Source organism: Homo sapiens, chromosome 4 (genome assembly GCF_000001405.40).
Source record: "Homo sapiens chromosome 4, GRCh38.p14 Primary Assembly".
NCBI lineage: Eukaryota > Metazoa > Chordata > Mammalia > Primates > Hominidae > Homo > Homo sapiens.
The window spans coordinates 139346133-139358481 of NC_000004.12; the positions used below are offsets into that span (position 1 = coordinate 139346133).

General features: G+C 38.0%; 1 protein-coding gene across 2 annotated transcripts in view; it reads left to right on the forward strand.

Annotated features, from left to right (window-relative positions):
* Positions 1–12349, forward strand: part of NAA15 (N-alpha-acetyltransferase 15, NatA auxiliary subunit) — an 89880-nt gene that overhangs the window by 44628 nt on the left and 32903 nt on the right. For both annotated transcript variants that reach the window (NM_057175.5, NM_001410842.1), the window contains exons 7-11: positions 3330–3449; positions 5059–5154; positions 5373–5479; positions 7894–7966; positions 11254–11423. In NM_057175.5, coding sequence (NP_476516.1) covers positions 3330–3449; positions 5059–5154; positions 5373–5479; positions 7894–7966; positions 11254–11423 — 566 coding nt within the window. The remainder of the gene's footprint in view (positions 1–3329; positions 3450–5058; positions 5155–5372; positions 5480–7893; positions 7967–11253; positions 11424–12349) is intronic.

Here is a 12349-nt window from a genome sequence, read left to right on the forward strand (position 1 = left end):
AGAGAATGTCATGTGGTAGATTGATGTCATGTGAAGGATTAATTTAGGTAAGAACATGAATAGTTCACATCAACAAGTAGTGGTGGTGTGTAAGTGGCGGGCAAGTAAATGTGTAGATGTAATGCATATTTTGGAGTTTCCTCTAATTGCTTCCGTTTTCTACATGAAATAAGAAATAAGGCTATCAGCTCATTCCACAAAATATGTATTGAATACCTACTTTGAGTTAGGTAATGGGACAGGGTGTATAAAGAGAATAGAAGGGAAGTGAGGGTAGAATCAATCTTTGGAAATTCTAGCAATCTTTAGAAATTCAAGGCAGTGTTGCTGGTAGGGATAGTTGGTGGGAGAAGATAAGATGGTCAAGATCACTCAGGAACTTCTTAGAGTGGATCAATGGGCACAGTTAGGCAAAAAAAAAATTTTTTTTTTTTTGAGATGGAGTTTCACTCTTGTTTCTCAGGCTGGAGTGCAGTGGCGCGATCTTGGCTCGCCGCAACCTCCACCTCCCGGGTTCAAGCGATTCTGCCTCAGCCTCCCGAGTAGTGGGATTATAGGCATGTGCCACCATGCCTGGCTAATTTTGTATTTTCAGTAGACATAGGCTTTCTCCATATTGGTCAGGCTGGTCTTGATCTTCTGACCCCCAAAGTGCTGGGATTATAGGCGTGAGCCACCGCACCCAGCCTAGGCAAAATTTTTTATTGTTTATTCTTATACCACCAGTTCCTTCTGCTCAGAAAAGGTAGAAGATAGAGGGAAGGAAACGAGGATGGGTATAGTGTAGAGGGGAGTAAAGGTGCAGGTTATTTTTATTTTTTATTTTAGAGGTGAGGTCTTGCTGTGTTGCCTAGTCTGGACTTGAACAAGGCTCAAATGATCCTCCCCCCAAACCCCACCCCCAGCCTCCCACTACAGGTGCGAACCATCGTACTCAGCTATGGGTTATTTTTAGTGTTTTTGATGAAGTTGGCTTTTGGTTAGTATAGTGCAGGCTTTGTTAACCTTGGCGCTGTTGACATTTTGGGCCTGAGTTGTTGAGGGTGGAGATCTCTTCTGTGCATTGTAGGATGTTTAGTAGCGCTCCTAGCTTATTTAGATGCCAGTAGTACTCAACACCCTTACTGAGACAAGCAAAATGTCTTCAGACATTGCTAAATGTTGGTAAAACTGCCCCTGGTTGAGAACCGCTGGTACAGATACTAAGAATATGGGCTTGTAAGGCATGGTGGCTCATGTCTGTAATCCCAGCACTTTGGGAGGCTGAGACCAGAGGATCACTTGAGCCTAGGAGTTCGAGACCAGCCTGGGCAACATAAGGAAACCCCATCTCTACAAAAAATAAAAATAAAAAAATTAGCTGGGTGTGTTGGCTTACATCTGTAGTCCCAGCTATTCAGGAGGCTGCCGTAGGTGGAAGGATTGCTTACGCCCAAGTGGTTGAGGCTGCAGTGAGCCAGGATTGCACCACTGCATTCCAGCCTGGGTGACAGAATGAGATCCTGTCTTCAAAAAGAAAGAATGAATGAATGAATATGTGCTCTTTCAGATAAATTGCTTGGATTCAAATCCTAACTCCATCACTATCTGCAAGACTCTTAGAAAGTTTACTTAAGTCGGCCGGGCGCGGTGGCTCACGCCTGTAATCCCAGCACTTTGGGAGGCCGAGGCGGGTGGATCATGAGGTCAGGAGATCGAGACCATCCTGGCTAACAAGGCGAAACCCCGTCTCTACTAAAAATACAAAAAATTAGCCGGGCGCGGTGGCGGGCGCCTGTAGTCCCAGCTACTCGGGAGGCTGAGGCAGGAGAATGGCGTGAACCCGGGAAGCGGAGCTTGCAGTGAGCCGAGATTGCGCCACTGCAGTCCGCAGTCCGGCCTGGGCGACAGAGCGAGACTCCGTCTCAAAAAAAAAAAAAAAAAAGAAAGTTTACTTAAGTCCTCTCAGTTTTAAAGTGATGAAAGTAATAGTAATCTATCTCATAGAGTTCTGAGAATTGAATTAGTTAACGCATGTGAAGCGTTTAAAAGTCACTGGTGGCCGGGCACGGTGACTCACGACTATAATCCCAGCACTTTGGGAGGCCAAGGTGGGTGGATCACTTGAGTCTAGGAGCTCAAGACCAGCCTGGGCAAAATGGCGAAAACCCATCTCTACAAAACATACAAAAATTATCCAGGCATGGTGGCACATGCCTGTAGTTCCAGCTACTAGGGAGGCTGAGGTGGTAGGATCGCTTTAGGAGGTCGAGGCTGCAGTGAGCCATGATCGATCGCACCACTGCACTCCAGCTGGGGTGACAGAGCAAGACTGTATCACAAAAAAAAAAAAAAAAAAGTCACTGGCACATGGTAAGTACTCAGTAAGTGTTCATTTTTATTATCAAATGAGAGCGAAAGATATAACAGAGAGTGAAGGATGCAAGGGTGAAGTAGTGGCTTAAAAATAATACCTTGGATGAAGGGAAGCACATTAAGGATAGAGAAAAGGAATCCTGAATATTTGAAGCTTATATGGCTTTGGAGCTCATATATAATAGTGAAACCACTGTCTCTCTCTCTTCATCTGGCTTGTTTCCTTCCATAAGAAAATGTGGAGCAAATAAACAGTTGGGATGATCTGGGCTTTAAAATTAGTAAACAAAAGAGCCTAGGTTTTAAGATTGATTTTTGATAATTGGGGCTGCTAATATCATTCAGGGATGATGTGATTGGTCATGCAGTCCAGGGAAGGCAACAGTGAGTCGACAAGTTGCTGATAGGTTGATAGTTTTTTCTCTGAAGTTGAATAGTAGGATTAGTGAGACAGAAAGAAAAGACAGTTAAGCTTAAAATAGGATGCTTAATTGCTTCTTGGAAGACATTAAAAGGTAAAGTCTAGATAGTTTTTAATGTAGCCAGATTAAGGGCTGCTATGGCAGAATTGTTTTGTAGCTGATTAAGGGATCATAAGGTTAGGATATTGAATTGAGTCATTAATTTTGATGCTGAAGTTGTTCCATATGATATCAGGAATAATTGAGGAGTAGAAGATGGCTTGGTGACAGTGTGTTGAGTGAATGTGAGAATCTGGCCGGGCATTGGACAGATTTTCTGAATAAATTGAGGATGTGAAGAGGATGGCATTTCTAAATAATGTGAACTTCAAAAAAGGAAGGAGACCATAACATAACTTGGTAAATGATCTTAAGGGAACTGGAACCAGGTCCATCCACTTAGCAGCACTGATTTATAATGAGATTTTAAGAGAAATTTTGAGGAAAAGTTAAAATTCTAATTGGAAGGTTTTCTCAGATATTAAAATTTTTTTTTTTTCTGTTTTTAATCAGGGGAACTTCTGTTGCAACTATGTCGTTTGGAAGATGCTGCAGATGTTTATAGAGGATTGCAAGAGAGAAATCCTGAAAACTGGGCCTATTACAAAGGCTTGGAAAAAGCACTCAAGCCAGGTAGTATTGTTTAAAACTTACTAAGTTTTATTGTTTCTTTTGTTAATATATATTTTATTTACTCATTGAAAAGCACAACTAGAATAATAGTGGTTAAGAATTGGTTCGAAATCTGAATACAGGCCAAGCGCAGTGGCTCGTGCCTGTAATCCCAGCACTTTGGGAGGCCGAGGTGGATGGATTGCCTGAGCTCAGGAGTTCGAGACCAGCCTGGACAACATGGTGAAACCCTGTCTCTACTAAAATACAAAAAATTAGCCTGGCATGGTGATGTGTGCCTTGTAGTCTCAGCTACTCCGGAGGCTGAGGCACGAGAATTGCTTGAACCCAGGAGGCAGAGGTTGCAGTGAGCCAGCATAGTGCCACTGCATTCCACCCTGGGCAACAGAGCGAGACTGTGTCTCAAAAAAAAAAATCTGAATACAAAAGTACATTTGCAAACTTCTATTTAATATGACAGATTGAGCATGTTCTGAAACCTCTCTTTTATAGATTTATAGAATGGTTGAGAAAATAATTTTAGAGACAACTTTAGAAAAAAATTCACAAATGCATAGTAGCATCAAAAACATGAAAGGAAGCCAGGTGTAGGGGCTCACACTTGTGATCCCAGCACTTTGGGAGGCTGGGGCGGGAGGATTGCTTGAGCCCAGGAGTTTGAGCTCAGCATGGGCAACATGGTGAGACACTGCCTCTTAAATAAAAGGAAATTTCCACTGACAGAAACGGAGATATATTCTTAAAAGCAAGAATAAGCTCTGTGGTAAGCTGTGGCTGCATCGAAGTGACTTGCCAGGGTCACGTAAATGTAGCCAGGCTGAATGAGCATCACTGTTCCTTTGTGGGAAGAGGGGTTAAATTTCTGTCACTCAAACTTGGATTCAGACGTGGTCCCCCAGTCATCCTCTCCCATAAGTGGGGTCCACTTGTGGGAACAGGCCCAGAAACAAATAGGCAGGATCCTCAGCAGAGGTGATCTGATTTGTTTCCTTCAAGGCTAGTTGTGAGCCATTGAAATATACAAGAGAAACCTTCTTGCAGATTACTTTGTAACAAAGATTCTCAGACTGATTTAGGAACACCAGCAAGGAATGGTAATCACCACTGTCTGCAAAAGGAAGAGTAGAGATGATGGAGGAATCTAAGATAGACGTAATTGCTGCCATGAAACATGAATAGTTAGGAGAAGTACCAATTAGGAATCTGAAATGAAAAACCTACTTACTAAAATAAAAATTTTAATTGAATGGAAGAGAGGCCATGGCCAAAATCAGAGGAGAGGAGTTAGAGGGGAGAAGCTAAGGAGAATAGTAGGAGAAGCAATATATGGAAACATGATAACCAAGGCTTTTTCAGAACTAAAGAAGTTCTCAGGTTTTAAAAGCCTACCTAAAGCAGAACAGGATAAAGATAATTATGTACTTAAGATAAAAAAAATTGAAAAGAAATAGTCTAAAATAATTGTTGAAATAGTAGATGTAAGATTACAAATAATTCCAATTTTCTTTTAAATATTAGAATTTTAATATACTTTGAGAAGTTCGTAATTTTCCAGAAAAAATATACAATTTATGATTATATATAACAAAGAATTTTTCTTTGTTTGCAGCTAATATGTTAGAACGGCTAAAAATTTATGAGGAAGCCTGGACTAAATATCCCAGGGGACTGGTGCCAAGAAGGCTGCCGTTAAACTTTTTATCTGGTAAGTGAGAATAATTGCAAAGGAATAGAAATGCTTTTATGATTTAAAGTTTCTTTTCTTGGTTTTAAGTATGAGTATGCATATTAAGTTTAAGCTATACATTGTTAGAGTTGTCTAACAACTCTGCTAAATGTAAGTTGGTAAATGTAAGTAAATACTTTGGTAAATGTAAGTAAATACTTGATAAATATAAGCGAAAAGGATTTTTCTCTTCCAAGGTGAGAAGTTTAAAGAATGTTTGGATAAGTTCCTAAGGATGAATTTCAGCAAGGGTTGCCCACCAGTCTTCAATACTTTAAGATCATTATACAAAGACAAAGAAAAGGTAAAGTGAAATATGATACTTTCTTTTGGCTACCATTTCTTTGCTCGGTATTTGGAATTATTGATTCTTGATTATCTCTGCACAGTAGTACGTGTTTTGTGAATCTCATGTCAGTCTTCCCAGTTTGCAGTTTAAATGCTTCTGATTCCTCTTTTTTCCATTTCATCCTCTTTTTTTTCTTTAGCCCAGTAACTTATTGCTTGTTTTCTGTTTCCTTTCTGCTATAAACTTTTAATGAGTCACTGTAGGTTATAAAAAGTTGATAAGGTAATAATTTCTTCACCATTTTCTTTCATCTTGTTCATGGTCAGAAGCCAGAGTGTGCTTGTTTTTTGTTTTTTTTTTAACTTAAGTTTTAGCTTAGTCTTCTTTCTCCTTTTTAAATTTGGTAGACAAAAAGTTCTGTCAGAAGAGTTTTTTTGATGTTCTAATAAGTCAGCTTACTCTTTCAGCTACATGTTAATAATATTCAGAATGCTTCTTTAGAGGTTATTTTAATTATTTTTTTTTCTTTTGAGACTGAGTCTTGCTCTGTCACCCAAGCTGGAGTGTAGTGGCATGACCTCAGCTCACTGCAACCTCTGCCTCCTGGGTTCAAGCAATTCTTGTGCCTCAGCCTCCCAACTAGCTGGGATTACAGGCGCGTACTACCATGCCTGGCTAATTTTTGTATTTTTAATAGAGACAGGGTTTCACCGTGTTGGCCAGGCTGGTCTTGAACTCCTGACCTCAAATGATCCGCCCACCTCGGCCTCCCAAAGTGCTGGGATTACAAGCGTGAGCCACCGTGCCTGGCCAAGGGTATTTTAATTTTAATTTTTAGATTATTTTGGTTATAAGTACAGTGTCATCAAGGCATATTGTTTGGATTCTAAAAAATCAGTTACATTGAAGAGTCAAAGATGGAGCAAATGAGACATATGAAACACTTTAACCAGAATTACATAATGTGCATTTATTTGCCGGTCTTTTGTTGGAGACCCAACGTATGGGCTTTTTTGATTGCTGTTTCACTTGTTTTTTCTTGCATAAATCACATCCATAAAATATCTTTTTTTTTTTTTTTTTTTTTTGAGACGGAGTTTCACTCTTGTCGCCCAGGCTGGAGTGCAATGGCGTGATCTCAGCTCACTGCAACCTCTGCCTCCCGGGTTCAAGCGATTCTCCTGCCTCAGCCTCCCAAGTAGCTGCGATTACAGGCACGTGCCACCATACCAGGCTAATTTTTGTATTTTCAGTGGAGATGGGGTTTGACCATGTTGGCCAGGCTGGTCTTGAACTCCTGACCTCAGGCAATCCACCCATCTTGGCCTCCCAAAGTGCTGGGATTACAGATGTGAGCCACCATGCCTGGCCAAGTAGGATCTTTTGTTTCCAGTTTTGAAAGAGTCAGACTTTGATGTTTATGAAGTGGTCTTATGTATAGAATCCTATATTTTTATGATTTTCTTCTACTTAAGATATTTTGATTTAGATCTAAACTGGTTAAAAATACCTAATTTATCTTTTTAGTCTTTCCTTGGTATTCAACTTATGGAACAGTCATTTTCATTCTCACATCTTAAGTTTACACAATACTGAATTCTGCCATTAGAATAATAAATGCAACTGATTCAAAGATGTTTGAGAAAACAAAACAGTCTTAGTAGGCTTGTAGCTCAGCTTGTAGGAGGGAACATGGGTGCACCAGAATAACCTAGCTGCAATCTTTAGTCCTCACAATTTATTGAGGTTTTGGAAAGAGCTGATATTAGTCTGTTGAGTCAGTTAGGTTGAGGTCATTCAATAAAGCCATAATAGTAATAGAAATCCCTTAAACATGGATTAAACAAAGAACAGAAGTAGTAAATAAAAAATGCTCAGAGATCTCTCAGGAAGCCAGGAGCGAGTAGTATAGTCAAGACTCAAGAGAAACCAGAACCTGGATGGCCACTCATTCTCCTGGACCTAACAAACTCTCAGAGTATTCTTTGAGTTTTACTAATGTTTTACCCTGGATTGTGAAATTGAAAGTTGAATACTGTCATCTACTTAGAGAATTTCTCTTTTCACATAGCATTTAATTCTTAAATGCAAATGTTTACTGTGGGTGTTCATTTATACAAACTTTGTTAAAAGAATCAAGATATAAATCATCCACAATATTGCCTGTCTTTGTCCAACTCTTCCTGATTTCTGGTTCAGCTGAAAAGGAGTAACCAATAAGTTTTTATAAAATTACATCTTAATGTACACCTGTGCAAAAGTATGATGTATTTTAAAATTTGTATCTAGAGGTTAAGATATTTTTAATAAAGGAGGGTGTGTGTGTTGGAGTGTTTATTTAGTGTTTTAGTAGAAAATAACACATTTTGCATAAGAATAGTAAATGTGTGTTTTTTCTATTAAAGTGTGTTTGTGTGTTTGTACTCTAGGTGGCAATCATAGAAGAGTTAGTAGTAGGTTATGAAACCTCTCTAAAAAGCTGCCGGTTATTTAACCCCAATGGTAAGTCCTCAAGTTTTATGTTTTAAAAACATCTTGAAAATTTTAATACATTGTGAAATTCTTAATCAGAAGGTCAGTATTATTACTTAGGCAGTAAGCACAGTGCATTAAATTTTTTTCTCTTTGAGAGGGAGATCCATTAATTTGCACATTGTGTGATGATATTTGGTTAGAAGAGAATTACATTATCTTTGTTTTTTGTGTTTTGGGTTTTTTTTGAGACATGATCTTGCTCTGTTCCCCAGGCTGGAGTGCAGTGGTGTGAACACAGCTCACTGCAGCTTCGACCTCCTGGGCTCAAGTGATCCTCCTGCCTCTGTCCTCTGTGTAGCTGGGACCACAGACATGCACCATCATGCCAGGCTAATTTTTAGATTTTTTGTAGACTTAGGGTCTCACTTTGTTGCCCAGGCTGGTCTCAAACTCCTGGGCTCAAGTGATCCTCTTGCATTGGCCTCTTAAAGTGTTGAGATTATAGGCATGGGCCACTGTGTCCCACCTCGCATTAGTTTATTGAAAAGAATGTTATGTAAAATTTTAAAAACATCTACAAAACTAAATGCAACAGTATAATAATCCTCTCTTTACCCAGCACTCAGCTTCAATAATTTTTAATTCATAATTGAATTTATTTATAGCTTCTCCTACTTTTCTCTACTCCCATATTGTTCTGAAGCAGATCCAAACATCACATCATTTTATCCATGGATATTTCAGTATGTCTAAAGAGAAGGACTTAACCTAAAACATAACCTAATACCATTCTCATACCTGAAAATTAATATATATATTTTTTGAGATGGAGTCTTGCTCTGTCATCCAGGCTGGTGTACAGTGGCATGATCTCAGTTCACTGTAACCTCCACCTCCCAGGTGCAAGTGATTCTCCTGCCTCAGCCTCCCGAGTAGCTGGGACAGGTGCCTGCCACCACGCCTGGCTAATTTTTGTATTTTTGGTAGAGACGGGGTCTCACCATATTGGCCAGGCCAGGCTGGTCTCGAACTCCTGACCTCAAGTGATCCGCCTGCTTCGGCCTCCCAAAGTCCTGGGATTATAGGCATGAGCCACCACGCCTGACAAAAATTAATACTTTCTTAATAATAACTATTCAGTCCATGTTCACATTTCCAGTTATGTTATAAATGCCATTTTTTTTTTGCCTTTCCTTTTTTGAAGTTTGTTGGAATGAAGATTCAGATAAGATGTGTACTTTGAATTTGGTTGATGTGTCTCTTAAACTCTTTTTATCTTTTGGGTTTCTGTCCTATCCCTTTTCCTGCAATTTATTTGTTGAAGAAATTTTTTTATTTTTTTTTTCAGTTTTCCCAGTCTAGAGTTTGCTGACTGTACCCCATGTGTTGCTTAACACATTATTCCTTGCTCTCTGAATTTCCTATAAACTGGTAGTTCAGTGTAGAAGTTTGTTGCTAGTATGATAGCCAGTAGCACAGTGGCTAATTAAAATTTTAAAAAATTAAATAAAATAAATTCCATTCCTTGGTTGCAGTAGCCACATTTTAAGTGCTGCTCAATAGCTATATATAGCTAATGCCTACCATGTTGGAAAGGGAAAATACAGGACACTTCTGTCATGACAGAATCTTCTAATGGACAGGTCCAACTAGAGATTTGATGAGATTCAATATTGTTTTGATGGTTTTGCTTTTGTTTTTTAAACAGAGGAGTGAGTGAGATTCTTACAGGTGGTGGCATATTCTTCTATTAGTAGGCATACGTGTTAGTTTTATATGTTAGCAACTGTTAAGAATTACCAACTGGTGATACTCTATTATTCTTTATTATTTTAAAAGAGAAAATTTTCTTCCTCTATTACCTGTTTACACAATGTTTCAGTTTACATAGGAAAAGCATGATAAATGGATTTTTTCTCCCCACTCCCTCCTTTTTAAAATTTCTTTACCAGTTTTCAAAATAATGAATTGTTGGTTCAATAGCATCCTTCAAAGACAGCAAATACGTTTTTAAAAAGTATTATGAATTCATGGATTTAAGCATATTTGATGTTTTATATCAAATATTTGATGTTGCATATTCAGCATATTAAAATATATTAAGAATATAATCACCAAATTCAAAATAACCACATTACAAATCTCAAATGGTCCCATTCTTTACATACCATAGTAGTAGTTGATAACTTCTTGGGTGTTAATAAGACAAGATATTCCAGTTTATTGCTGCCACTGCAGATCTGGAATCAATTGTTTTTCCTAGGAGTTCTGGTTCCTGTAGTGGGAAAGCCCGGTATGGGACCCTGGGTGCATATTGCTATTGGGTTGGTCATTGTTTCTAGGTCTCAGATTAATTTAATAGTACTTTTTTCCATGATTTCATTGGTTAATCATCATAATGTTCCTTTGATTATCAGCATTTTCCTACATATTTTACAAATGTGGAAGAGGTTCAATGACTTGCCCAAGAATATGCAGCACTTTTGTTGCAGATCTGTCAGATGGGGAGTTGGTGAGTTCCACTCCTATTATTTGTCCACTGAGCCATCCTGCTTTTACTAGGAAAAATTTTTTAAAAAGCAATCTGTTGCTTTCTTTGAAAGCACGTATCAGTTCTCAGATTTTAGAAATTTGTATTAAAAAAGAATTTTTTAACGTGTGGGTTGTATATTTAACTTACACATTTTCTTGTCAGTATATTAAAATTAAATCATGAACTAAAATATAAAAATTTTTTTACTTGTCATCTCATTTTTGGGGTATAGTTTTTATTTGACTTAAATTATGCATCTTTGCATATTCAGCATATTAAAATATATTAAGAATATAATCACCAAATTCAAAATAACCACATTACAAGTATATTTTATAACAGTTTGGTGCATTAGCTAGAAACTCAATTAAGCAGCCAGGGCTTTTTTTTTTTTTAACCTCACATGAATAGAGAACATTTTTAATTTCTTCCCCCTTTATAAATAACATCCTGATCAGTATGCTCTCATAGTTCTAGTACAGCTTGTCTCCCCCCTACCTGTTTCAGTTTTCTTTCTAGGTAGTTAGACCTTATTTATCTCCCATGTTTGTTTCATAAAGTTATTATATGAAAGGGATTGTGCTAGGGGTTATAAGGATGCAGAAAAGAAAATATGGACCTTTCCAAAGATCTTATAAACTTAGGAGGAGTTTTATAGCTAGATACATAAATAAACTCCTTTCATAGTACCTCCCTTGTTAATAAACATAGGGACCATTTTGGGGGGTGCTCTTAATATATGTAATGCCTCATCTTGGTTTCTTCTCCCTCTTCTCCTAAGATGATGGAAAGGAGGAACCACCAACCACATTACTTTGGGTCCAGTACTACTTGGCACAACATTATGACAAAATTGGTCAGCCATCTATTGCTTTGGAGTACATAAATACTGCTATTGAAAGTACACCTACATTAATAGAACTCTTTCTCGTGAAAGCTAAAATCTATAAGGTAAAAATCTTTTTTTCTATTTTCTTATAAGGTAATGAGACTTGTCATGAACTTTTTCTCTGTATTTTATAGATTCTAAATATAGGAAAAGTGACATTTGATAACTCAAAAAACATGAAGTAACAAGTATAGTACATTTCTCAGTCCAATTACTTTGAGACTTGTGGTCATGCTAATTTGGTGATTTATCTATATCCGTATACACACACATACGTACATACATTAATGTATATGTATTCACACGTATCTGGTAATTCTCTTGGGTTTGGAGAGTAAGAGTATATAGGTAATCCAAAAGAAATTTTATTTGCTGTGAAATGTGTATTTCTATTAAAATTTGAGTATGATAACATATCAGTATCTGGCAATGTTATTGAGATGAAACTGTGAAGATTCTATTATGAATTCTACAGGTTATCTCTTTTGACTTCTCAACTCCTGGGCCTTGCTTGAGAATTTTTAGTCATATATTTTAGTATCATCTTAAAATAAAGTTGGCTTTTCTCTGTCATATTGCAAATAAAATTTAGTAATGAAAGCTCTTGAGGGACTGATAATAAACCAGTAATTTGTTTAGCAAGAAAATAATGAAATTAAGTAATATTTAAGAAGTTTTTTTGTTTGTTTTTGTTTTTGTTTTTTTTTTTTTGAGAGAGAGAAAGAGTCTCACTGCATCACCCAGGCTGGGGTGCAGTGGCGCGATCTCAGCTCCCTGCAATGTCTGCCTTCCGGGTTGAAGCAATTCTCATGCCTCAGCCTCCGGAGTGGTAGCTGGGATTATAGGCATGCACCACCATACCCAGCTAATTTTTGTATTATTTGTAGAGATGGAGTTTCGCCATGTTGGCTAGGCTGGTCTCGAACTCCTGGCCTAAAGTGATCCACCTGTTTTGGCCTCCCAAAGTGCTCAGATTGTAGGCATGAGC